We start from the raw sequence: 24,446 nt of genomic DNA, 5'->3' as shown, positions 1-24,446 counted from the left end.
ATTCCATGCTCATGGATGGGTAGAATCAATATTGTGAAAATGATCATACTGCCAAAAGCAATCTACGGATTCAATGTAATTCCTATCAAAATGTCACCATCATTCTTTGCAGAGCTAGGGAGAACAATCCTAAAATTCATATGAAACTGAAAAGGAACACACATAGCCAAATCAAGACTCAGCAAAAACAAAAACAACCCCCCAAAACCCACAAATCTGGATGTATCACATTACCCGACTTCAAACTAAACTAAAAGGCTATAGTTACCGAAACAGCATGGTACTGGTATAAAAATAGGCACATAGACCAATGAAACAGAATACAGAACCCAGAAATAAAGCCAAATACTTAACAGCCAACTGATCTTTGACAAAGCAAACACAAACGTAAAGTGGGGAAAGGACACCCTATTCAACAGATGGTACTGGGGTAACTGGCAAGCCACATGTAGAAGAATGAAACTGGATCCTCATCTCTCACCTTACACAAAAATGAACTCAAGATTAGATCAAAGACTTAAATCTTTTAAGACCTGAAACCATAAAAGTCCCAGAAGATATCATCAGAAAAACCCTTCTAGACATTGGCTTAGGCAAAGACTTCCTGACCATGAACCCAAAAACAAATTCAACAAAAACAAAGACAAATAGATGGGACTTAATTAAACTAAAAAGATTCTGCACAGCAAAGGAAATAATCAGTAAACAGACAACCCACAGAGTGGAGAAAATCTTGGTAAACTATGCATCTGACAAAGGTCTAATATCCAGAATCTACAAAAAAACCAAACAAATCAGCAAGAAAAAAAACAAACAATCCCATCAAAAAGTGGGCTAAGGACATGAATAGACAATTCCCAAAAGAAGATATACAAGTGTTCAACAAACATATGAAAACATGTTCAACACAACTAATTATCAGGGAAATGCAAATCAAAACCACAATGCAATACCACCTTACTCCTGCAAGAATGGCCATAATCAAAAAATCAAAAAATAATAGATGTTGGCATCAATGTGGTAAAAAGGGAAAACTTTTACACTGCTGCTGGGAATGTAAACTAGTATAACCACTATGGAAAATGGTGTGGAGATTCCTTAAGGAACCAAAAGTAGATCTAACATTTGACCCAGCAATCCCACTACTGGGTATCTACCCAGAGAAAAAGAAGTCATTATACGAAAAACACACTTGAACACACATTTATAGCAACACAATTTGTAACTGCAAAAATATGGAATCAACCCAAATGCCCATCAATCAACAAGTGGATAAAGAAAATGTGGTATGTATAATATACACACACACACACCACGGAATACTACTCAGCCATAAAAAATAATGAAATAATGGCATTCACAGCAACCTGGATGGAGGTGGAGACCATTATTCTAAGTAAAGTAACTCAGGAATGGAAAACCAAACATTGTAAGTTGTCACTCATAAATGGGAACTAAGCTATGAGGATGCAAAGGCATAGAATGATACAATGGACTTTGGGAACTTGAAGTAAAGGGTGGGAGGGGGTGAGGGATAAATGACTACACATTGGGTACTGTGTACACTGCTTGGGTGAGGGGTGCACCCAAATCTCAAAAATCATTACCAAAAAACATATCCATGTAACCCAACACCACCTGTTCCCCAAAAGCCTATTGAAATAAAAAAAAAAGAAGAAAAAGTAACTCAAAATGGATCAAAGACCTAAATATAAGACCTAAAACTATAAAATTCTTAGAACATTGAACAAAAGAGCTTCATGACATTATATTTGGCAATGATTTCTTGGATGTGACAACAAAGGCAGAGTCACTGAAAGAAAATATTGGCAAATTAGATTTGATGAAAAATTTTTAAATTTGTGCACCAGAAGACCCTATCAACAGTAAAAGGCAAGCCACAGAATGGGTGAAAATACAGGCAAATCGTATTATCTGATAAGAGATTAGTATCCAAAATATATAGAAAATTCCTAAAACTCAAACAAAAAAAATCAACCTGATTCAACAATGTGCAAAAGACTCAAATACACATTTCTCCTAAGATACACAAATGGCCAATAAACAGATGAAAAGATACTCAACATCTCTAATCATTAGCAAAACAAATCAAGACTACAATGAGATGCTACCTTATACCCATAACAATGGTTACCATCAAAATTCAGAAAATTGTTAAGTGTTGAAGAGAATGTGGAGAAACTGGAACCCTTGTATACTATTGGTATGAAAGTAAAATGTTATTTCTGCTATGGAAAACAGTATGAAAATTCCTCAAAAAATTAAAAATAGAATTACCATATGATCCAGCAATTCCACTTCTGGATATATACCCAATGAGAGCAGGGTTTCAAGAAAGTATTTGTACACTCATGGTCATTGCAGCAGTATTCACAAGAGCTAAAATGTGAAGCAAACCACGTGTTCACTGAGGATGAATGAACAAGCAAAATGTATTTACATACAATGGAATAGTATTCAGCCTTGAAAAGTAAGGAAATTCTGATATATGCTACAAAATGAATGAATCTTGAGGACATTTTGCTAAATGAAATAAGCCAATCACAAAAGGACAAATAATGCACAATTCCACCTACATGAAGTACTTTAAAGTAGTGAAAAATCAGAGACAGAGTAGGCTTTTGGTTTCCAGGGCCTGTGGAAAGGTGAGAATGGAGAGCTATCGTTTAAACGGATATAGAGCTTCAGTTTTACAAAATAAAGAGTTCTGGAGATAAACAGCGGTGATGGTTGCACAACAATATAAATGTAGTTAATACCACTGATCTATAAACTTAAAAATGATTATGATGGTAAACTTTGTATGTATTTTACCAAAATTTTAAAAAGTTTGGAAAAAAAAAGGTATCAATGATAATGATGTTGATTTCCTCCGAATTAACCTGTATGTAAAGTAATCCCAGCTAAAACACAGGAAGATTTTAAAAAATTATATAACTTGGCAAAAAGTATTCTAAAACTTTGGACCAATAAACATGTGGGTGTAACTGGGAAATTCTGGAAAGGGGCATTGTGGGAAGGGGTGTACTAATCTGATCTGATCAATTTTAAGTTATAAAAAAGATTTTAAAAAATTAATGTGGCAAAAATTATTCTAAATGTTATCTGGAAAAATAGGTGAGTATCACTGGAAAACTCTTGAAAGGGGAACTGGGGAAGGGGAAGAGACAAAGTTTACTACATATAAAAATATATTACCTTAAAAAAGGTAATGAAAACAATTTGGTATTTATGCTGAACAAACTCTCAGTCTGTTTAAAAAAATGCATTTGTTAATACTAAAGACAATGTGCTGAGAAACTGTTCTCTACATCAGACTGTCAGAAACTATGTTATTTGAAATTTTATAAAGTGAGAATGGAACATCCCACTCTCGCACTGATGGTAGATCATTATGAAACAGAAGCAACCTCACTTTGCAACTCAGAGCTTCAGATAAGGGGTTTCCAGACACAACATTCCACATGTATCGCGATTTTGTAGTCTCCAGGGAATCAGAATCCTGAGTCAGCTTCTCAGCCCAGGCCTGATGTTTATTAACCCTTGACACACAGTCTTGCCGTGCTTTAAGCTTATCAAATATTGTTGCGTTTAAACTTTATCCAAACTCCACCATTCTCCAAAATCCTATAATAACCCTGGTTCCTTCTTTAGAAATGCTGACATTTCCTCTGCTGTGCAAGTCTCCTTCACTGCAGCAAGCTAATTAACCTTTGTCAGCCTACAGATGTGTCCCTGGTGGTCTCTACCAGATGAATCTTATAAAGGGACTTCATCAGGTTGAAATAAAGACTCTATGGAAAACAAAAATTCATGTGGAAATTTAATACATAATAAACAGCATTTCAAATCAAGAAAAAGGTGGCTTATTGAAGAAATGGTATTGAATTAATTAATCTTTTGGGGAAAAAAAAACAAAACCAGCTGGATCCTTACTTTCTAGTAACAATTTCAAATGTTTCTAAGATTTCAGTATTTTAGAAAATGGAATTAAAACAAAACTGGAAGAAAATATATTTTTGCATTTTGATATTACGAATTGAGATCTCTCCCACACTCAGAAGCTGTGACTATTAAAACACTATGAGTTTATTCATTGGATAAACTTCTGGCAATGAAGTCGCTGGTTAAAGGGCATATTTCTTTATGAAATATATTTTTTTAATGTACAGCAAAAAGAACCAAAAAGTATCATAAATAATAAAAAAGATAGTTAACCAAATACAAAAACAGATAAAGAAAATAAAAGATTCACAGTAAAAAATGGTCAACGATGTTCAAATTTCACTCACAAAGGTAAATCAAATGAAGAGATATTATTTTTAACCTAACATATTGGCAAAACTTTTAAAGTTTATTAACAGCTGTTATTGACACAGATACAAGAAAACTGGTAGTCCTGTATTCTTTCTCATAATACATACTTTTACTGTCTTTTGGAAGGGCATTTCACAACATCTTTTTAAATTTTTAACTAATTATGCCTTGATATATCACTTCATGATCAGAAACTTATTTTACAGATATAATCATAGAAGTCAGCCAAGATGCTCGACAGCCATAACCATAAGACGTCTGTCTGTTGATGAGGAACCAGTTTTTTAAAAAAAAGATAGAGCCATAGCATAGAATAGTAGTAGCTGTTAAAAACAATGATCTACATGTGCTGATAGGGAAAATCTTTGTGCTTTTGACAAAGGTTACTTTTTATTGTTAATAAGGTATACTGGGTATTTTTTTAAACATCAGAAAATGTAAAGAAAACAAAAGGAACAAACCTAAACAAATGAAAGAAAATCATAGACAGAAAAGAGTAAATTTTCTTTACCATCTCTACCACTATCTCTCCCCAAAAGTAACTGCTTTCGTATCGTTGGGTAATGCCTATATCATCACATATGTATGTTCAGCTTTTAATTTACATCAGAGATCATGCTTATCGGTTAGTCTGCACTTTAATTTACCCCTTCACTTATTTTATCCATAACACAATGTCATTCATTTTAACAACTGTATAAGATAAAAGGTTTATTTTTTAAGACAATGTACCGAAATATTTTCTAGTATGATTTCACTTGGCTTTTTAAATGTTTCTGTATATATTTTAAAATCTGTTAAGATATATATACATATGATATTTAACAAGAGCTATCTCTGGGAACTAGCACTGGGTGGCATGAGCAAGGAAGGACAAATTTTTTTTTATTTTATAACCTTTTGATGTTTTAATTTTGCATCGGGTACACACATTACTTTTCTGATAAAAATTAAATAAAGGGAGGCAATTTTTATCTACAGAGTGAAATAATATGATAAAAATTAAAGTCCACTAATTTCTCCACACTTGTCAAACAAAATGATCTCTTGATCCTTTCAGACTTCTCCAAGTTTCAGATTCACATACACAAATGCCTGCTAAATACTTCCACCTGGACCATAGGCATCTCTAATTCAACACCTCCAAAGTGACTCATTACTTTCCTCTGCTCATTTTACCTTAATTACTGGTAATTACCTAAATTATTCACCAATGGGTTCCTATTTCACTCAGAGCCACAGGATTATCTAAACTACAAAGTACACAGATATTCTTAATGCTTCCCTTATCTTCACCCCAAATCCAATTACCAAGTCTTGCCAACATTACTTCCTAAATATTATTCTAATCCATTGTCTCCTCTCCATTTCTAGTATTTATCCTATTTCAGACTCTCCTCTCTCCCCACAGGCTATTACAATATCTAACCTCTCTGACTCAAGTGCTATCCCTCTTTAACTCATACCCCGTCACCAGAATGAGCTCTCTAAAATGAAAAGCTGACCATGTCACCCCATGAATCCTTTCACGGAACTCCACTGCCTACAAGACAAAAACTAAACATTTTTTATTAACATGATATATAAATAAAGGCTATGACCTAGAGCCTGTCCAGGTTTCCAGCCTCGTCTTTTGCTATTCTGTGCCTTATAATTTATGTCTGCTTCAGCAATCCTGAACTGTCTACAGTTACTGAAAGGTTCCCAATATGGTCAGCTCCTCTTCCTACTGTCTTCTCTGACTACAACACTTGCTTCCCACCAACCTCTGTAAATCCCATTAAACTAAGGTTTCTTAACCTTGGCGCTACTGACATTAAGAGCTGGATAACTCTCTGTTGTGGAAGCCGTCCGGTCCTCTGTAGGATATTTAGCCAGCATCCCTGGCCTTTACTCACTAGATGCCAGTAGTATTCCCCCTAGTTGTGACAAACAAAAATGTCTGTAGACATTGCTAAATGTTTCCAGGTAACAACCTCTCCACTAATTTGTTAAAACTGTTTCTCACATTTACATAAAAGATCTCCCCTGTCTCTACTAAAAATACAAAAAAAAAAAGAAATTAGCTGGGCATGGTGGCAGGTGCCTGTAGTCCCAGCTACTGGGGAGGCTGAGGCAGGAGAATGGCGTGAACCCAGGAGGCAGAGCTTGCAGTGAGCTGAGATCGCGCCACTGCACTCCAGCCTGGGCGACAGAGTGAGACTCCGTCTCAAAAAAAAAAAAATCTCAGGAAGAATAGAGATAAGACTACTTTTAACACTAATTGCCTTTGAGGAGGACAACTGGGTAACTGGAGTGGGATGAAAAAAACTTACTTTTCAAACCATTTACTGTGCGTTTTTAGTCTTGTACCTCTTCTGACTTCTCCACTGCTATCACCCTGGTCTGAGCAACCTCTCTGTCTTTTAACTACTCCAACAACATTCTAACCAACTTTCCCCTTCCTTTAGCCTTTGCTTCTTTGGCCCATTTTTACCAATAGCCACAATGATCCTTTTAAAACTGAAATCAGATCACATCACTCATTTGCTCAAAACCCTCCCGTCTTCCTAATCTTAGAGAGCCAAAACCTTACAAGGATCTACCCACAATCTGCATCCTACTCCACCCCTTTCTTTCTGATCTCTTCTCCCCAGTATTTGGTGTTTTTGTAGGTCAAAAATGAACAAACAGCAGCAATTTCATAGATTGAACCTAATACTAACTGCTTGTCATTCCTCAAACGTGCCAGGGTCTTCACACTTAACTGTTCTCTGCTAAGAACACGCACCCAGGTGCTCATATGGCTCACTCTCCAACTCCTTCAGGTCTTTACTTTTCAGGAGTCTTCACTGGCCACCCTATGCTTACCCACAGCACCTATTAATATCAAATATTATTTTACTTATTCATCTTGTTTACTGTCTCTTTTCCATCTTGATCAGTGGTTCTGAAACCTGAGTCTCCATCAGAATCATTTGGAAGGCTAGTTAAATAAAGAGTTCTGGGATGGAGCCTGAAAATTTCAATTTCTAACAACTTCCCAGGTGATGATGATGCTGCAGATCCAGGGACCACATTTTTAGAACCCGTGTTTCAGAATGTAAGCTCCATGAGGACAGAGATTTTTGCCTATCCACTGTTTTATCTCCAGGACCTGGCACATAGTAAGCACTTGCTGTGGTCTGAATGTTTGTCTCCTCCAAAACTCATGTTGAACCTTAATCACCACTGTGGCAGTATTGAGAGCTGGAGTCTTTAAATGGTGACTGGGTACTAAGGGTTCAGCCCTCATGAATGGGTTATCATGGGAAAGGAACTGGTAGCTTTACAAGAAAGAAAGAAAGAAAGAAAGAGTTCTGGGCTAGCATGCTCGGCCCCCTCACCATGTGGTGCCCTGTGCTATCCTCAGGACTCTGCAGAGTCCCTACCAGCAAATGCCCTCACCAGATGTGGCCCCCTGAACCAGGACTTTTCAGCCTTCCTAACTGTAAGGAATAAATTTCTTTTCTTTATAGATTATCCAGTTTCAGATATTCTGCTAGAGGCAACAGAAAACAGATTAAGACATCACTGATATATGTAAATAAATGTAAGTGTCCCATCCTGTTTCCACTATAGCCTCTGATTCAGTCTATAATGCTAAACATTTACTGAACGATGTAAAAGATAAACCGTGCAACTGTTACAGGTTAAACTGTGTCCCCACAAAAGATAGGTTGAAGTCCTAATTCCAGTACCTCTGCACGTGACCTTATTTCAAAATAGGGTCTTTGCAGATGTAATCAAGTTAAGATGAGGTGATTAGGGTGGATCTTAATCCAATACGACTAGTATCCTTGCAAGAAGTGGAGCACACCATCTGAAGACAGAGCCACACAGGGATTATGTTGTGATAACAGAGTCACAGACTGGAGTGACATAGCTGCAAGCCAAAAAATGCTAAGGATTGGCAGTAACACAACAAGCTAAGAGGCATGGAACAGATTCTCCCCTCGAACCTTGAGAGAGCATGGCCATACCTACATCTTGATTTCAGACATCTTGCCTCCAGAACTGAGACAATAAATCTGTTGTTTTAAATCACCCAGTTTGTCGTATTTTGTTACCGCAGCCCTAGAAAATACAATGACCAAGAATGCAAATAACTATGCCAAGCTGTATTTAATTTCAAATTCTGCCTATTATCCAACATCTAGCCGTTTAAATGTGCTTTAATATACAGGTTTCCCATTCCAGAATCTCCCTAATATTGCCTCTCGTTGCCCCCAACACGCCCCTTCAATGTGCAAGGCAGCACATACTACAGGTGCTAGATAATTTATTTAGACTTTCCTTTCAGTTTCCCCCACCTTCTTATGTGCTTCCCTAAATCACAAACACCAGTTTCTTTATATATTTTTTTTCTCCCTCTTCCTATTCTCACATATTACAGATTTTGGCATATATATTCCCCTTGGACATTTGAATTAGCTGCAAAATAATTTAAGTACACATTGGAGTTCCTCTCTAACCAGATTTTAAGATAAAAGGCTAACTTCTCATTTTATGGAACAAGTCTCCTTCCCGCTCCCCACCTTTCTTCTTTTAAAAGAATGACTTAATCCCACTGAATTTGAAGTAAAAAGATTTTTGTCATACCTTTCTTTCAGCCTTGCTATAGTTTGTACATCAGCGTCTTTAATCAAATCTTAAGAAATCTTCTAAAAGAAAAGATGGTTGTATTGGGAAGCTTAAACTTTTAAGCCTATCTGAATTTAATTTCAGCATCAAGCTTTCCATTTTCTACTTAAGGTTTATTTATAGCTGCACTGTCACAAAAATTCCAATCAATGATTTTACCACACAAAGACTCTAAATTACCATGGCTTATAATGTTAAACTGCATAATGCAATTTTAATTTTAGCACAAATCAATACACAAATAGTAGCATGTGCCTAGTGACATACTTTTTCATATTTCTATTAGGTAAACAAGAACTCATTATGTGTACCCTGAAATAAATTTGTGATACAATTTTAAGAATAACTGGATATTGAATTTACTCAACGTAGTCTAGTCTTAAAAAGCATAATTATGAAAAACTTTAAATAGGAAACACAAAATATTTCTAAAATGCTTAATCCTAAGTAGGAAGATACAAAAAAATACACATTCCAGGCAAATTTGAGAGGCATTTAGTAGCTCTCCACTAATACTGAAAAATTATTCTCTTTATGAAGAATTTTAAATGAGTCATACTTTCCTTACTAAGTCATTGTTTCACTTACCATAAGGTGAAGAGTTAACTGTTTGCTAACTTGAAACTTTATATTCACTTAAACTGTACATCTATATATAAAGACTGGTAGAAAGTATAGTGTACTATATACAATATTTAGAACATACAGCATCATGGGCATTAAGCTCAACTGCCATTTACCTAAGAGGGTGAAAAGCTGTCATCTAAATACCTTCTAAAAACTCGGATTCCAACTTCCCAAACTCACACCAGAATGAAGCAACTTGAAATTATGCGCACTTTTTCCTGGCAGAGCTATGTTCTATGCCCAACTTTTAGTAAGTTAACATATTTCTCTCCCTTACACATCGGCCAATTATTCATTGATTCATTATGGTTCTAAATTTATAACTTTTAAATTCATAATGAAATCAATCCATGGTTAGCACAATAGTTTTCTATCTTAAAAAAGCGTTAAAAGGAAATACAGTAGTATGTACAATGGATATAGAGAACTAGGTTAGAAATCTTGAGAATTTTTCCAGGATGTGTGGGTTTTTTGTTGCTGATACTGTTGTTTGCTTTAAATGCGGGGTGGTGGGGGGTGGGGAGACGGTAAGGACCAGGAAAGAATAAATCCACAGCGCTAAATTATGGTCATCTTTTAAGAGTGTACGACTTACCCAAATTCAAAGCAAATGGACAACTTGTCAACACCTACTAATTCCATCACAATTTGTTGGGGAAAAATGGGGTGCAGAAGCAAAAAAAAAAAATTTAATGCCTTTCTTCCTCCTCCATGCCCCGAATGCCCCAACACACACGTATCTGCTTCACTCTGCGGCAGGGAAACTTAAAGAAATAAATCAGCTACAGACAAACCTGATGATCCAAGCTAGACCCAAGCAAGCTCCAGGCACCTCTGGAAGGAGCCCGCTCGCTGGGCGCTCAGGCGGCGCGGCAGCCGAGTGGCTCCCCGGCGAAGGTGCCCAACACCTGGGCGCCCAGTCCGGCGGGACCCACAGGTCTGCGGCGGGGCGGGGAGGGCCCGGGAGGAGGGACTGGGAGGGCCCGGCGGGGCAGGACCGCTAAGTGGTCCGGTCCGGGCGCACTGCGCGCCCCGCCGCGCCGCCAGGCAGCGCGCGAGCAGAAGAGGGGCGCGAGCGGGCACAAGGGAAGGACCCACGACGAAGAGGAGGGTACATGTCCACAAAATTGAGGCCGGGTACGCAGCCGAACGCTGTGGCAGATCGCTAAGGCTCCGGGAGCGGGAAGTCCTCGCGCCTTCCTCAGGAGCCCGGACGACCCCAGCCCGGCTTTGACCCCGAGACACCTGTTCCGCCGCGCCCGGGGTTTGGTTCCATCCTCCACGCTTCCCCACCAACCCGGAGAGGGGGGAGGGCGAGGGGAGACGAGACCTTGGACCCGTAGCCTGAGGGCGCCTCCGCCGGCCATACCTGACATCAGCTGCGGCTCCCTCTCGCCCCTCCTGGGGGGCGGAGAGGGGGACGACTTGGGACTGGTGACCTTTGCTTCTCTGGGCAGCCGCAGAAGTGGCTCGTGGCCGCTAGCCGAGGCCGCCCGCTGCCGCCCAGATTATTCCCCGGCAGCGGCAGCACAGCGGCGGCGGCCAAGGCGGGCCCAGCGCGCGCTCCCGCCCGCTCGCTCCGCCCCTCCCCGCAGCGCGTCCAGGCCGTGGCCCGCCTATGGCGCAGCCGCCACCCGAAGTCTCCTGGCGCTGACGTCTCCGCCGCCGCACCAGCCCCAGGGAAGGGCGGAGCGGGAGGGGCGGTGGGCGGGGATACGGCGACGTGAGGAAGCGGGGATTGGCTGCCGGGTGCACGCTCCGCCCTAATGCGAAGGGGTCTGGGAAGTCGGATCTTGCACGAGCAGTAGATTTTGTTGTATCCCCCTTGCGGCTTGTGTCTGCTACTCTCCGCATTTCTGATCCTGCTGTAAGGTTATGCACTAGCTTCAAGACCTTGAGCGGGACGAAAGCAGGGTAACAATAGGGAGCGAGAAAGGGGATGCTTGAAGGACCTTTGTCTGAGGTACAGGCTCTAACCCTGCAGGACTCTTGTGGCCTGTAGCCTGCTCTTAACCCGTTCATTTGTTTTTCTGTTCTCTCCCCGTGCTCTCTTTACTCAGTATCTCTCTGGGCTTAATAAAAGGAAGTAATAAGATGAAGTATGCATACGGGTGCTGGGTCATCATGTGAGAACCAGGAAGAGCTGAGAACCGAGATAATGATACCAGAAAGCTTTCTATAGGCACATTTCGTCTTTGGTTCTGTCAGCACTTCGGTTCTGTGGGGCAATGGCCGGAAGAGCTTCTTAGGGGCGTAACAAAACCTATCTCCCCTTTCGCTGGGCTCTGAATAAGGAAGTTGTCTTTGGAATAGGGGGAGGAGGCTGCCACCTGTTGAGGCAACCCCACAATAGTCATGAGGTGAGGGTAAGGTTTAGTCTTTACTGGCGTTAACCATTATCTACAAGACCACGTTCCAGAATAGGAAAGCTACCCTGCTTCCTTTAAATGCCCTATCCAAGCGGTTCTTTAGTACTCTACAGCATGGTTGTTAAAGAGTATGGGCTCTGAAATCAGACTGCCCGGGCTGGCATCTTGGTCCCTCCACCTATTGGCAAGTTACTTAGAATGCCTGAGACAAATAATAATATACATTAGTTATTGTTATTTTTCCTTTAATTTGCTTAGGTTCAGCTGTAGTGTAGTTTCTCAGGACATTGCATCAATATATCCAAAAGAATTGTGAAACATAAAGCACATGTAGTGATTCTAATACAGATGTCTCATTTTTCAGATGACAAAACTAAGGCCAGAAAGATAAACTGATAGGTCCATGTTAGAAGAGAAGTGCAGCTATCCTGATGTCCAGGTTATTGCTCTTTCCTTGGCTCATGGGTCCAGACTTCTCTGCCTTACATGATTACGTCCATTCTCTACTCCTCCCCAACTTGTATACAGTTGTTGCTCAGCCTCCTCCCCCTCCACCTTTCCGCAATATCCTTCCACCTTTCCGCAATATCCTTCCACCTTTCCGCAACATCCTTCCACCTTTCCGCAATGTCTTGCCATCCATTGTGAAACATGGAAGGAGAACTCTTTCAGGGGTCAGTGTTCCAAATAGAAACCAAAACTCACAACTCCTTATCTCGTTTTAATTTTATTAAAAGTTATAATTAATAAAGAATAACACTTTTTTCCATTGAGCAAAGATTAGAACCCTTTCCTAAAATAAGGTCAGCCACAGCCTTATCCTGGAAAATTACTTGCTAGAAACAATACTGGACCAAATCAGCCCTGCCCCCACCCTGCCTTTCTTTGAAAATAGCTTTTTTTTTTTTTTGAAGAGATATGGTCTTTCTATGTTGCCCAGGCTGGAATGCAGTGGCTATTCACAGGTGTGATCTTGGCACACAACAGCCTCGAATAACTGGGCTGAAGGCTGAAGCAATCTTCCCGCCTTAGCCTCCCCAGTAGTTGGGATTACAGGCACAGGCTGTGGCACCCAGCTAATAACTATTGTTTTATAAAAACAATACATGCTTATGCAAACAAATTTAAAAAATTTAAACAAAAATGCAAAGAAGTTAAAATCTGTCCAAATACCATAATATAGAGATAACCATTTCTTAAATTTTGTGTTACATTCTTCTAGGCATCTCTCTAAGAATAAAAGCACATATAGACATATAAATACAATATTTCATAAATTGGATCGTATTATCTGCACAGTGAACAACAGTCATGAATAACATCATTTTTAAAAGTTGCATACTGTCTGTTAAATGGATATACCATCATTTATCCAACCAGTATTCTATTGATTGACATTTATGTTTCCAAGTTTTTACTACCATAAAAAAAGTCTCTGATGAACATTCTTATCCATAGGCTTTTGCACAATTGTGCAATTATCTCCTTGAACACATTCCTAGAAGTGACATTAATGTCAGCCAATTCTTCGACATTTTCAATTAGAGAATAAAAATTGTGGTTACTTTGAAAAATATACTTTATATGTGGGACTCAAAACTGACCAGATTCTCCCATTTGAAACATACTTGAAACACACATAAACCTCAGTATTGTTGTTTCTCTTGTGTCTAGTGTTTAATAATGCATGTCAAAACTCGTTGGAGTAGGTCGGTAGACATTACTAGTTGTCTAAACCAAAATCCTTTCTTCTTTACTAGTAGAACTCTGATTTCTTCAGGGTGACAATGTGGCCAGTTAAAAATATTCATGCCCCTAGACTTTCATAAGTCATGGCTGGCCATGTGACCATCAATTAAATAAAAGTGAATTTCTGTAGAGGAGACTCAAGGAAAGCTTTATGGAAGAAATATCGCTTTAGCCATTTGATATGCACCCATCCCTTTTTTTTTTTTTTTTTTGAACCTGAAACAGGGACATGATACTGGAGGTAGAACAGCCATATTTCACCCATAATAACAAAAGCCACACAGACACTATTAATAGTGTAGGACACCAGAGGTGCCTAGGTCCATGGTTGCTTTGGAGGGCCAACTTACCAGGTCTGGACTATCCACTTCTGGATTTGTTGTTAGGTGAGGAAGATTATATCCCTTCTATATAAGATTTTGTTATTGTCTGTTGTAAGTATCAAATGCAATTCTTAGTTGACATAATAAGATAGGCCAAGTCATCATTTATTTAGCACTATATATAGAATTTTTTAATAGACAGAATGAGGTGAAAATGGTGACAGAAAATGCAAACAAGCTAGCAACAACATTAAAACATTGTCTTCTTTAATAGACTTAGTTTCCCTTTAAATACCTACATTTTACAAATATATTAACACCAGTTTATAATAATTAAGTTAAATTTCGTGTATTAAATTTTATTAACTCATATGGTAGTATTAAAATATGTTCACAAATTATTTGATACTTCTTCCTTCAAAGGGTCAAACTTCATTCCCCTCACCTTGAGTTTGGACTGTATTAAATGACTTGTTCTCATGAATAGAATGTAGTGGAAATGATGTAATGTGACTTCTGAGGGGAGACTATAAAACATGCCAGACTTTTTATTCTTTCTCTAGGATTACTTGTTGGGGCCAGGTAGCTGTTATGTCAGAGTCATAAGGTCACTCAGGCAACTTATAAGGAGGCTCACATGGTGAGTAATTAAGGCTTCTAGCCAACAACCGGTGAGGTATTGAGGCCTTCTGACAAGAGCCATGTGAGTGAGCTTGGAAGCAGATCCTCCAACCCTTCAGGCCTTCAAATGATTGCATGCATCATGGTCAACATCTTGACTGTAACCTAGAAAGAGACCCTGAGACAGAACCATTCAGCTAAGGTGCTCCTGAATTCCTAGGCCACAGAAACAGTGAGATACTAAATGTTTAAATGATTGTTGTTTTAAGCCACTAAGTTTTGGGATAGTTTGTTATACAACAATAGGTAACTCATACAGCTGGATATAATAGAGCCTAGCACAATGCCTGGCACACATGCAGGTGTTCAATTATTTGTTGTTTGAATGAATAAATAATTGAATGAAGTATATCTTTTTCACTTTAGTAGGTAGCATACAATGTTAGGATTATCTTTGCTCCCTGACACCTGTATTATCTAAGGGTTTTTTGATCTCTTATAGAGAGATGTAGTGTGAATCTTACTGAGAGCTAAACTTTGCCAGTTGTGGAAGTAACATGGTGAATAGAACAACGGAATCCTTGAAACTTGAATTCTGCCCCCAGTTGTTTTTCCTCAATCAATTTTTTTTAATTTTTTAAAAATTAATGAGTTAACACAAAATTAAACCATGTCTTGAAACCAGACAGCCATCTTGTCTGCCATCTCCAAGCAAATTACAGATTGACTCATAATACAAATTTGCCCAGAGGGCTTGCAATACTATTTCACAAAGTTGGCTGTATTATTTCTCTTCACAAATGACCAGTCTGATGCATAGCATGTTTAGCTACAGATGCCTCTGATGACTCTCTCTGCAACATTTTCATGGCTCGCCAACAGGTCTGTCTACATTTCTCAGGTCTACCAAGGGGGCGGTTCAATTCTGCTTTGATGTAATCTATCCAAAGATCAGAATCTACAGATCTAAATTCTCTCAAAGCCCTCTGTTGCAGAATTCCTGCATTCTTGCTCCTTTTCAAACTGGATCATTTCCTAAAAAAGTCAACTAAAAATGGATGGCTCTCCTGTAAACTTTTAAACACAGCTCCAGCCTTTTTGTAGCCACCACTTTGGTAAGCCCAATCCAGGTACTTATCTTTCAGTGCCCCCAGTTTTATCACTGATTAGCTGGATGACCTGTAGTAAGTCACCTAACCCTTCTGAATCTCAATTTCCCTATCCACTAACTGGGGAAAATTATCCCAATGTACCCCAAAAGGCAGTCAATGAGATTATATGTAAATATGCTTTACATATAAAGCATTAGCATTCTTTTAATTAAATTAGGCTGATGAGGTCTACCTGATGTTTAAGCAATTAAGCATTAAGTATTTTACATGAATACCATGGAGACCTTTCAGGAAGTGACAACTTATTTACTGATTTTACTGTGTACTGTATAAAATAGTAGCATCATTCATAGCAAGCAGTTTGGATTTAAGAGTATGGCAGAATGGTAGCTTATATGTCAGGTCTCATTTTATGAGCCTGTTGAAAATTTATTACTCTTTTAAAAGAATGCATAATTATCACTGGCTCCTTTTTCTTTTTCATGAATTAATTTGTAACTGTGGCTGAGTATATCTGCTCCTCTTTGTTGTGACAGAGGTACTTAAACAAACTTAATAACAAACATATATATAACCGGTTATTTGAGTTTATGAGTTCATCCTAGAGCAAAATTGCACCCAATAGCAAGAAAATAAATGGCAGAAAACATGTCTTTCTCTTTCAGAGGGCAGAACTTAGGGCACACAGGGGAAGGCTTTATATACTGGAACATCAAAGGTAGAGATGAGGCAATTATTAACAATGCACATTTTTGTGGCATGACTAACCTGAGAGGTAAATATGTTAGAATGAGTAAGACAGAGCCTTAGTGTGAGACTCAAGTCCTGATTATGTAGTGGATGAATGGCCTTAAATACAAGGTCCCTAATTTAATTGTATGGTTTTTTCTTGCTTTCAGCTATTCAGCTGTGAGCCCAAATCAGTTGAAACTACTGGCCTAATTAGATATCAGACTGTTTGTTGTTGTGGATGATCCCTGAGTAAGAAAAAGAAGAACTCTAGGGGGAAGAAAGGGACAGAGCTTCTTGCACCTCATTTCCTATGTTAAATTAGGGAGTAAGTGAAAAATGGACACCAGGAAACAAAGATCAGGGAAATCCTTCTGGCAACATTGTGCTTTTAGACAGAGCTTCTCGTCTCCTATTGAAAATACCTGACAATGCCACCCTGTATAACCTAAGAGAACATTTTCTAAACAGTTTTTATTCCTTGTAGCTACATCTTTACAAAATTTACCAAGATTTTGAGACAATTGGAATGGCTGGTGTTGTTTTCTGAATTGACTGACAGAGGAATAGGGTTAAGATGGAGAATAGAGCAGAGGAAGAAATAAAGAAAAAAAGTCTAGGAAATACATTTAACCTCGAGGGAAGAGGACTCAGTGTGACTCACAGCATATTAGCTTGAAAGCAGAGACTGTCACGTGTGCACTGAGGAACTTGTGTCATCTAGAAAAATATTCTCAGCTTACGAGGCTAGAATCCCTGGGGTTACTCTTTGTTCCTCTAGTTCCCTGGAATAAGAATCAGGAGTGTTCCTTAATTGTTTTCTCAATTGATGAGAAACAGAAGCAGAAACATTTGTTGTAAGTGAAATAGTTGAAGTTTCTTTAGTTTGAAATCCCAAAGGAGTAAATTATTTATAAATGTATATGTTGCATCTGTTATTGAAAAGAACTAATTGACTTACAAATTGTGTAGCTGCATAATGTGGCATTTTTTTTTTCTTATTTCAAGTTGTATTTCTAAATCTAAAGGTGGACCTATAGTAGATACCTTTTCTTGTTTCTATTCATCCTCCATAGAGAAGCATCTCCTTCCTCGACCTTTTTCCACAAATTCCCATTTTGCTGAAATGGCTCACAGAACTTGGGCAAATACTTTACCTATGTTTACTCACTTATTATAATGGATACAGATGAATAGCCAGATAGAAGAGATGTATAATGTAAGGTATGGAAGAAATGGCATGTAGCTTCCATGCTGTCTCCAGGCATACAAACCTCTGGGAACCTCTATGTGTTTGGAAAGCCCCCCAACCCTATCCTTTTGGGGTTTTACAGAGGTAATAAAGGTAAAATGAGGGGATAAAGGTAGGGCCTTTTATCCAATAGACCTGGTGCCCTTCCAAGAAGAGGAAGAGTTCTCTCTCCCCATTATGTAAGGACACAGAGAGAAGCCTATCATCTATAAACCAGAAAAAAAAAAGCCCTCAGCAGAAACCAAGTCAGCCAGAATGTGGATCTTGGACTTGCTAGCCTCCAAAAGTGTGAAAAATAAATTTATGTTGTTTAAGCTATTCAGTTTGTGGTATTTTGTTACAGTAGCCCAAGCAGACTAATACAAGGGGCTACCTGAAGGATTGATGCAAGATCCTCTCCTCTGTTTTGCTAACTCAGAACCTAGGGCAGAAAAAGCTGGAAAACACAGCAAACTGAAGTAATAACCCTAGACACCTGGAGGCAGAGATTACAGTTGAAACATGCAATAGACTGCCTAAGGCAAAATCTGGAGAGAGTTTCTTTGGGAAATTAAAATATTCAAAAGCAACCATATATACGTGGGAATTTAGAAAGCCATGCACATGCCCAGGGCAAAACACTTGCTTAGAAAACACCTGAGAAAACCCTAAGCTTTCATTTTGGGCTGATCCCTTAGCACAGTGCAAGGCTAACTAAGAATTGAAGTAGAGCCCTGGCTTAGAGCCACTTTGCAAAGACTGTGAGAGCTTCTGGCATTCGAGGAAATCTGCCAAAACACTAGCTGAACACAGGCTAAGGGACAGAGTCTTCCATGACCATATTGACAAGGAATACAGTCTTTGAAATAATAGTTTGAGACAGGCATCAAATAAACTGACTGCTACAGCCTTCAAGAACCAGAAAACAGCAAACCCCCCTAGGAAAGTGAAGAAAATCTAATTTCTAGTTACCACATCATAGGAGCCAAATGTCCACTTTTCAAGCTCACACACAAAAATCACAAAGCATACAAAGAAACAAGAAAGTATGGCTCATTCAAAGGAACAAAATAAATGGATAGAAACTGTCCCTGAGGAAGTCCAGACATTGGAATTACTAAACAAAAACTTTAAAACAATTGTCTTAAATATGCTCAAAATGCTAAACATGGAAATGAAAACATTGACAGTGAACTAAAGGAAGCCAGGAAAATGATGTATGAACAAGATGAGAATATCAACAAAGAGATAGTAGTTATGAAAAGGAACCAAACAGAAATTCTGAAGCTGAAAAATAAAAATAAAAAAATCTAAGTGGCTTCAGCAACAGAACTGAGCAAGCAGAAGAGTCAGTGAACTTGAAGATAAGACCACTGAAATTACTGAGGCTGAGGAGCAGAAAGGAAAAAGAATGAAGAAATTTTCATTTGTTGTTGGAATGCAAATGGTATAGCTACTTTTTTTTTTTCTTTTTTAACTAGAGATGAGTTCTCACTATGTTGCCCGGGCTGGTCTTGAATTCCTGAGCTTGTAATCCTCCCACCTCAGCTTCCCAAAGTGCTAGGATTACAGGCATGGGCCACCACACCTGGTTCAGTGTAGGCATGTTGAAAGGCAGTTTTCTTACAAAACTAAATATACTCTTACTATGCAATCCAGCAGTTGGGCTCGTTGTTATTTACCCAGATCAGGTGAAACTTATGTCCACACAAAAACCTGCATTTGAATGTTTACAGCAGCTTTATTAATAATTGCCAGAACTTGAAAGTAACCAAGATGCGCTTTTATGTACCCTTCAGAATTCCTATGCTGAAGCCCTAACACCTAGTGTGGCTGTATTTGGAGATGGGGTCTCTAAGGAAGTAGTGCAAGTTAAGGGTGGAGCCCTGATCTGGTAAGATTAGTGTTCTCAAGAAGAGATACCAGAGCACTCTCTCTTTCTGTCTCTCAGCATACACGAGGAAAGGCCGTGTGGGGACATAAAAAAAAAAGACGGCTGCCTATAAAGCCAGGAAAAGAACCCTCACCAGAAAGTGAATTTGGCAGCACTGTTGTCATGGATTTCCAGCCTCCAGAACTGTGAGAAAGTAAATTTCTGTTGTTTAAGCCACTCAATCTATATTATTTTTTTCCTATTTTAAAAAAATTTGAGATGGAGTCTTGCTCTGGAACCCAGGTTGGAGTGCAGTGGCATGATCTCGGCAGGATCACTGCAACCTCCACCGCCCAGGCTTAAGTGATCCTCCTGTCTCAGCCTCCCGAGTAACAGGGACCAGAGGCATGCACCACCATGCCCAGCTAATTTTTTGTATTTTTTATAGAAATAGGGTTTCACCATGTTGCGCAGACTGGTCTTCAACTCCTGAGCTTAAGTAATCTGCTGCCTTGGCCTCCCAAAGTGCTGGGATTACAGGCATGAGCCATTGTGCCCAGTCCAGTCTGTACTATTTTGTTATAGCAGCCCAAACAGACTAATACAAGGTAAATGGATAAATAAACTGTGGTACACACAGACAATGGAATACTATTCAATGCTAAAAAGACATAAGCTATCAGGCCAAAAAAACACATGGTTGAACCTTGTGTTAATCCATTCTTGCATTGCTATAGAGAAATACCCAAGACTGGGTAATTTATAAAGAAAAGAGGTTTAACTGGCTCATGGTTCTGCAGTCTTTACAGGAAGCATGATGCTGGCTTCTGCTTGGCTTCCAGGGAATCCTCAGGAAGCTTGCAATCATGGCAGAAGGTGAAGGGAGAGCAAGCACATCACATGGCCAGAGCAGGAACAAGAGACAGAGGTGGAGGGGTGATGCCACACACTTTTAAATGACCAGATCTCATGTGAACCAGAGCAAGAACTCACTTATTACCAAGGGGATGGCCATTCATGAAGGATCTGCTTCCATGGTCCAAACAGCTCCCACCAGGTCCCACCTCCAACATTGGGGATTACATTTCAACATGAGATTCAGGCAAAGAGAAATATCCAAACTATATCAAACCTTAAGTGCATATTGCTAAGTGAAAGAAGCTAATCTGGAACGGTTGCAGACTGCATGATTCCAATCAGATGAGGGGAAGGAATGATGAATAGGTGGAGCATAGGAGACTTTTATGGCAGGGAAACTATTCTTTATGATACTATAATGGTAGATACATTTCATTATACATTGGTCAAAACTTACAGAATGTATAACACCATGAGTGAACTCTAATGTAAATTATGGACTTTGCTTGATAATGATGTGTCACTGTTGGTTCATTGATAGTAACAAATGTACCACTCTGGTGTGAGATGTTGATAGTGGGGGAGGCTGTATTTGTGTGAGAGTAAGGAATATATGGGAATTCTCTGTAACTCTGCTGCATTTCACTGTAAACCTAAAATGGCATTAAAAATAAAGTCTGTTAATTTTTTTTTTAGAGTTTACAGAGATGAAGGGACCTGTGCGTCATCATCAAGAGGACCAGCATATGTGTTTTGGGAGTTTTAGATGACAAAGAGAGGGGCAGAAATAATATTTGAAAAATTATAGCCAGAAACTTCCAAAATTTTATTAAATATAGTAACCTACAAATCCAAGAAACTGAATGAACTCCAAGCTGGATAAACTCAAAAAGACCCACACTTAAGATATTTTAACCAACCCATCAAAAGCCAGAGGTAGAGAGAGAATCTTGAAAGCAGCAAACAAGAAAAAAGTAACTCATCACATATAAGGAATCCTCATTAAAATTAAAGGCCAGTTTCTTATCAGAAAACATGGAAGCCAGAAGACAGTGGAGTGACATATTTAAGTGGGTGAAAGAAAATGAAACCTATTAACTGAAATTTTATATCTAGCAAAACTGTCCTTCAAAATGATGGAAAAGTTAGGATATATTCAGATAAACAAAAGTTGAGTTCAACGTTTCCTTCCAACAAGAAATGCAAAGGAAGTCTTTCAAGTTGAAATGAAAAGACACTAGCCAGCAATTCAAAGCCATGTTAAGAAAATAAAGGCCTACAGTAAAGGTAGGGCAAATATAAGAACAAGTACTATTTAATTTTTGTTTGTAACTCTACCTTTTATTTTTAATAAGATTTAACAAACACATATATAAAAATAATAAATCTCCTGTTGGGGACACAATGTTAAAGATGTAAAAAGACATTAACAATATAAAGGGGGAAGATAAAGATGTATAGTAGTATAGTTTTTAAATGTTTTTGAAGTTAAGTTGGTATCAATGCAAAATATATTGCCTTAAATTTAGGGCATTAAACGTAATTGCTATGGTAACCACAAAGAAAATATCTAAAAGATATATACAAAAGGAAATGAGAAGCGAATCAAAATGGTTCACTACAAAAAAATCAACTAAACATAAAAGAAGGCAATAATGGAGAAAATAAGAGAGGAAAAAAGTATGACATACAGAAAACAAGTATCAAAATGGCAGAAATACTTCATTATGAGTAATTATTTTAGATATAAATGGATTAAACTATTCACTCAAAGGCAGAGATGGGCAGAATGGATAAATGCTGTCTGTAAGAGATTCACTTTAGATTTAACGACACAAATAGGTAGAAAGTGAAAGAATGGAAAAGATATTACATCCAAATAGTAACCAAAAGAGAGCCAAGGAGGCTATACTAATATTAGGCAAAAAACTTCAAGTCAAAATCTGTTGTAATGACAAAGAAGGACATTATATATTGATATATAGATAAATATATATATCATCAAAAAGTTATCATAATTATAAACATACATGCACCAAACAACAGAGACCCAAAATGTTTCAAGCAAATATTGACAGAATTAAAGGCAGATAAATAGTTGTACAATAATAGTTGGAGACTCCAATACTTACTTTCAAAAATGAATAGAATATCTAGACAGAAGATAAGTCACAAAATAAAAGACTTGAATAAGCCAACTAGACCTAACATGTGTATATAGAACATTTTACCCAATAACAGCAGAATACATATTTTTCTCAAGGGCACATGGAAGATTCTTCAGGATAGATGATATGTTAAGCCACAAAACAAGTGAATAAATTTTAAAAAGTTGAAATCATACACAGTATCTTTTCTGACCAAGTAGAATGAAGCTACAAATCAAAATCAAAGGAGAACTGCAAAATCCACAAATATATGGAAATTAAACTACACACTACCAAACACTCATTGGTCAAAGAAGAAACTACAATAAAAACTAGAAAATAATGAAAATGAAAACACACATATTAAAACATAAGATGTTTTTGTTTGTTTGTTTGGAGACGGACTCCTGCTCTGTCACCCAGGCTGGAGTGCAGTGGCATGATCTTGGCTCACTGCAACCTCTGCCTCCTGGGTTCAAGTGATTCTCTTCCTCAGCTTCCTGAGTAAGTGGGATCACAGATGCCTGCCACCATGCCTGGCTAATTTTCATATTTTTAGTAGAGATGGGGTTTCACCATGTTGGCCAGGCTGGTCTCAAACTCCTGACCTCAGGTGATCTGCCCGCCTCGGCCTCCCAAAGTGCTGGGATTACAGGCATGAGCCACTATGCCCAGCCTAACATAAGATGTTTAATAATGAAAACTAAAACACATATATTAAAACATCAGATGCAGCAAAAACAGTGCTCAGAGGCAAACTTATAACTATAAATTCCTACATTAAAAAAGACAAAAGATAACCAATGGCCTAACTTTATCCCTTGAGAAACTAGAAAAGGAAGAGCAAACCAAACCCAAAACTAGACAATGGAAGGAAAGAAAGATTAGAGCAGAGATCAATAAAACAGAATAAACAATAGAGAGAATCAGTAAAACCAAAATTTGGCTCTGTAAAAAAAGTAATCAAATTGACAAACCTTTAGCTAAACTGACAAAAGAAAAAAGAAAGACACAAATGATTAAAATTTAAAATGAGAATAGGGGCATTACTGCCAGCTCTGGATAATCTAGATGAAATGGATAAACACACAAATTAACTAAACTTACTCAAGATGAAATAGAAAATTTCACTAGACCTACAACAAGGCCAGAGATTGAACCAGTGATCAAAAACCTCCCAACAAAGAAAAGTCCAGGACCAGATAGCTTCACTGGTGAACTTTGCCAAATATTTCAAGAAGAATTAACACCAATTCTTCTCAAACTCTTTCAGAAAATAGAAGAGGAAAGAACACTTTCTAACTTTTTCTGTGAGGTCAGCATTACCCTGATACCAAAGTCAGATAAAGACATCACAAAAAAGTGCACACCAATATCCCTTCTGAATATTGAAGCAAAAATCTTCAACAAAGCACTAGCAAACTGAATCCAACAACATACTTAAAAGACAAACAACACGATTTAAAAATGGACAAAAGACTTGCATAGACACTTCTCAAAAAAATGTACAAATGGCTAATAAGCACATGAAAAGATGTTCAACATCCTTAGTTATTAGGGTAATGCAAATCAAAACAACAATGATGTACCATTTCACACTTACTAGGATAGCTGTAAGATTAAGAAAAAAAAAAACAAAATATCCAAACAGAAAATAACAAGTGTTGACAAGGATGTGGAGAAATTGGAACATTTGCACATTACTGGTGGGAATGTAAAATGGTGCAACCACTGTGGAAACCAGCATGGCAGTTTTTCAAAAGGCTAACCATAGAATGACCATACAACCCAGCAGTTTGGCTCTGAG

General features: G+C 38.3%; 1 protein-coding gene across 11 annotated transcripts in view, besides 2 other annotated features; it reads right to left on the bottom strand.

Moving 5' to 3' along the window:
- The window catches only part of C1GALT1 (core 1 synthase, glycoprotein-N-acetylgalactosamine 3-beta-galactosyltransferase 1), a 91,240-nt gene that overhangs the window by 54,800 nt on the left and 11,994 nt on the right, over window positions 1-24,446 (bottom strand). Inside the window, exons 1-4 of one of the 11 annotated variants that reach the window (XM_017012444.2) lie at window positions 10,997-11,273; window positions 10,223-10,391; window positions 8,959-9,020; window positions 8,340-8,433 (exon numbers count right to left, since the gene is read on the bottom strand). The exons of 2 other annotated variants lie outside the window; for them this stretch is intronic. The gene's annotated coding sequence lies outside the window, so the exon portion shown is untranslated. Of the gene's footprint in view, window positions 1-8,339; window positions 8,434-8,958; window positions 9,021-10,222; window positions 10,392-10,421; window positions 11,274-24,446 lie in introns of those variants that run through there. 8 more of the 11 variants (XM_017012445.2, XM_047420621.1, XM_047420622.1 and 5 more) reach the window with 8 other exon arrangements.
- Window positions 10,484-10,703: a silencer, noted in NCBI's record as "silent region_17962". NCBI's record gives its function as "represses an Ori minimal core promoter by ATAC-STARR-seq in GM12878 lymphoblastoid cells {active_cell/tissue: GM12878}" and the evidence as "EXISTENCE:reporter gene assay evidence [ECO:0000049][PMID:35858748]".
- Window positions 10,924-11,533: a silencer, noted in NCBI's record as "silent region_17961". NCBI's record gives its function as "represses an Ori minimal core promoter by ATAC-STARR-seq in GM12878 lymphoblastoid cells {active_cell/tissue: GM12878}" and the evidence as "EXISTENCE:reporter gene assay evidence [ECO:0000049][PMID:35858748]".

Source organism: Homo sapiens, chromosome 7, assembly GCF_000001405.40.
Source record: "Homo sapiens chromosome 7, GRCh38.p14 Primary Assembly".
NCBI classification, from domain to species: domain Eukaryota; kingdom Metazoa; phylum Chordata; class Mammalia; order Primates; family Hominidae; genus Homo; species Homo sapiens.
Note: the sequence above shows the minus strand (reverse complement) of the source record. Positions and strands in the feature narration are given on the sequence as shown.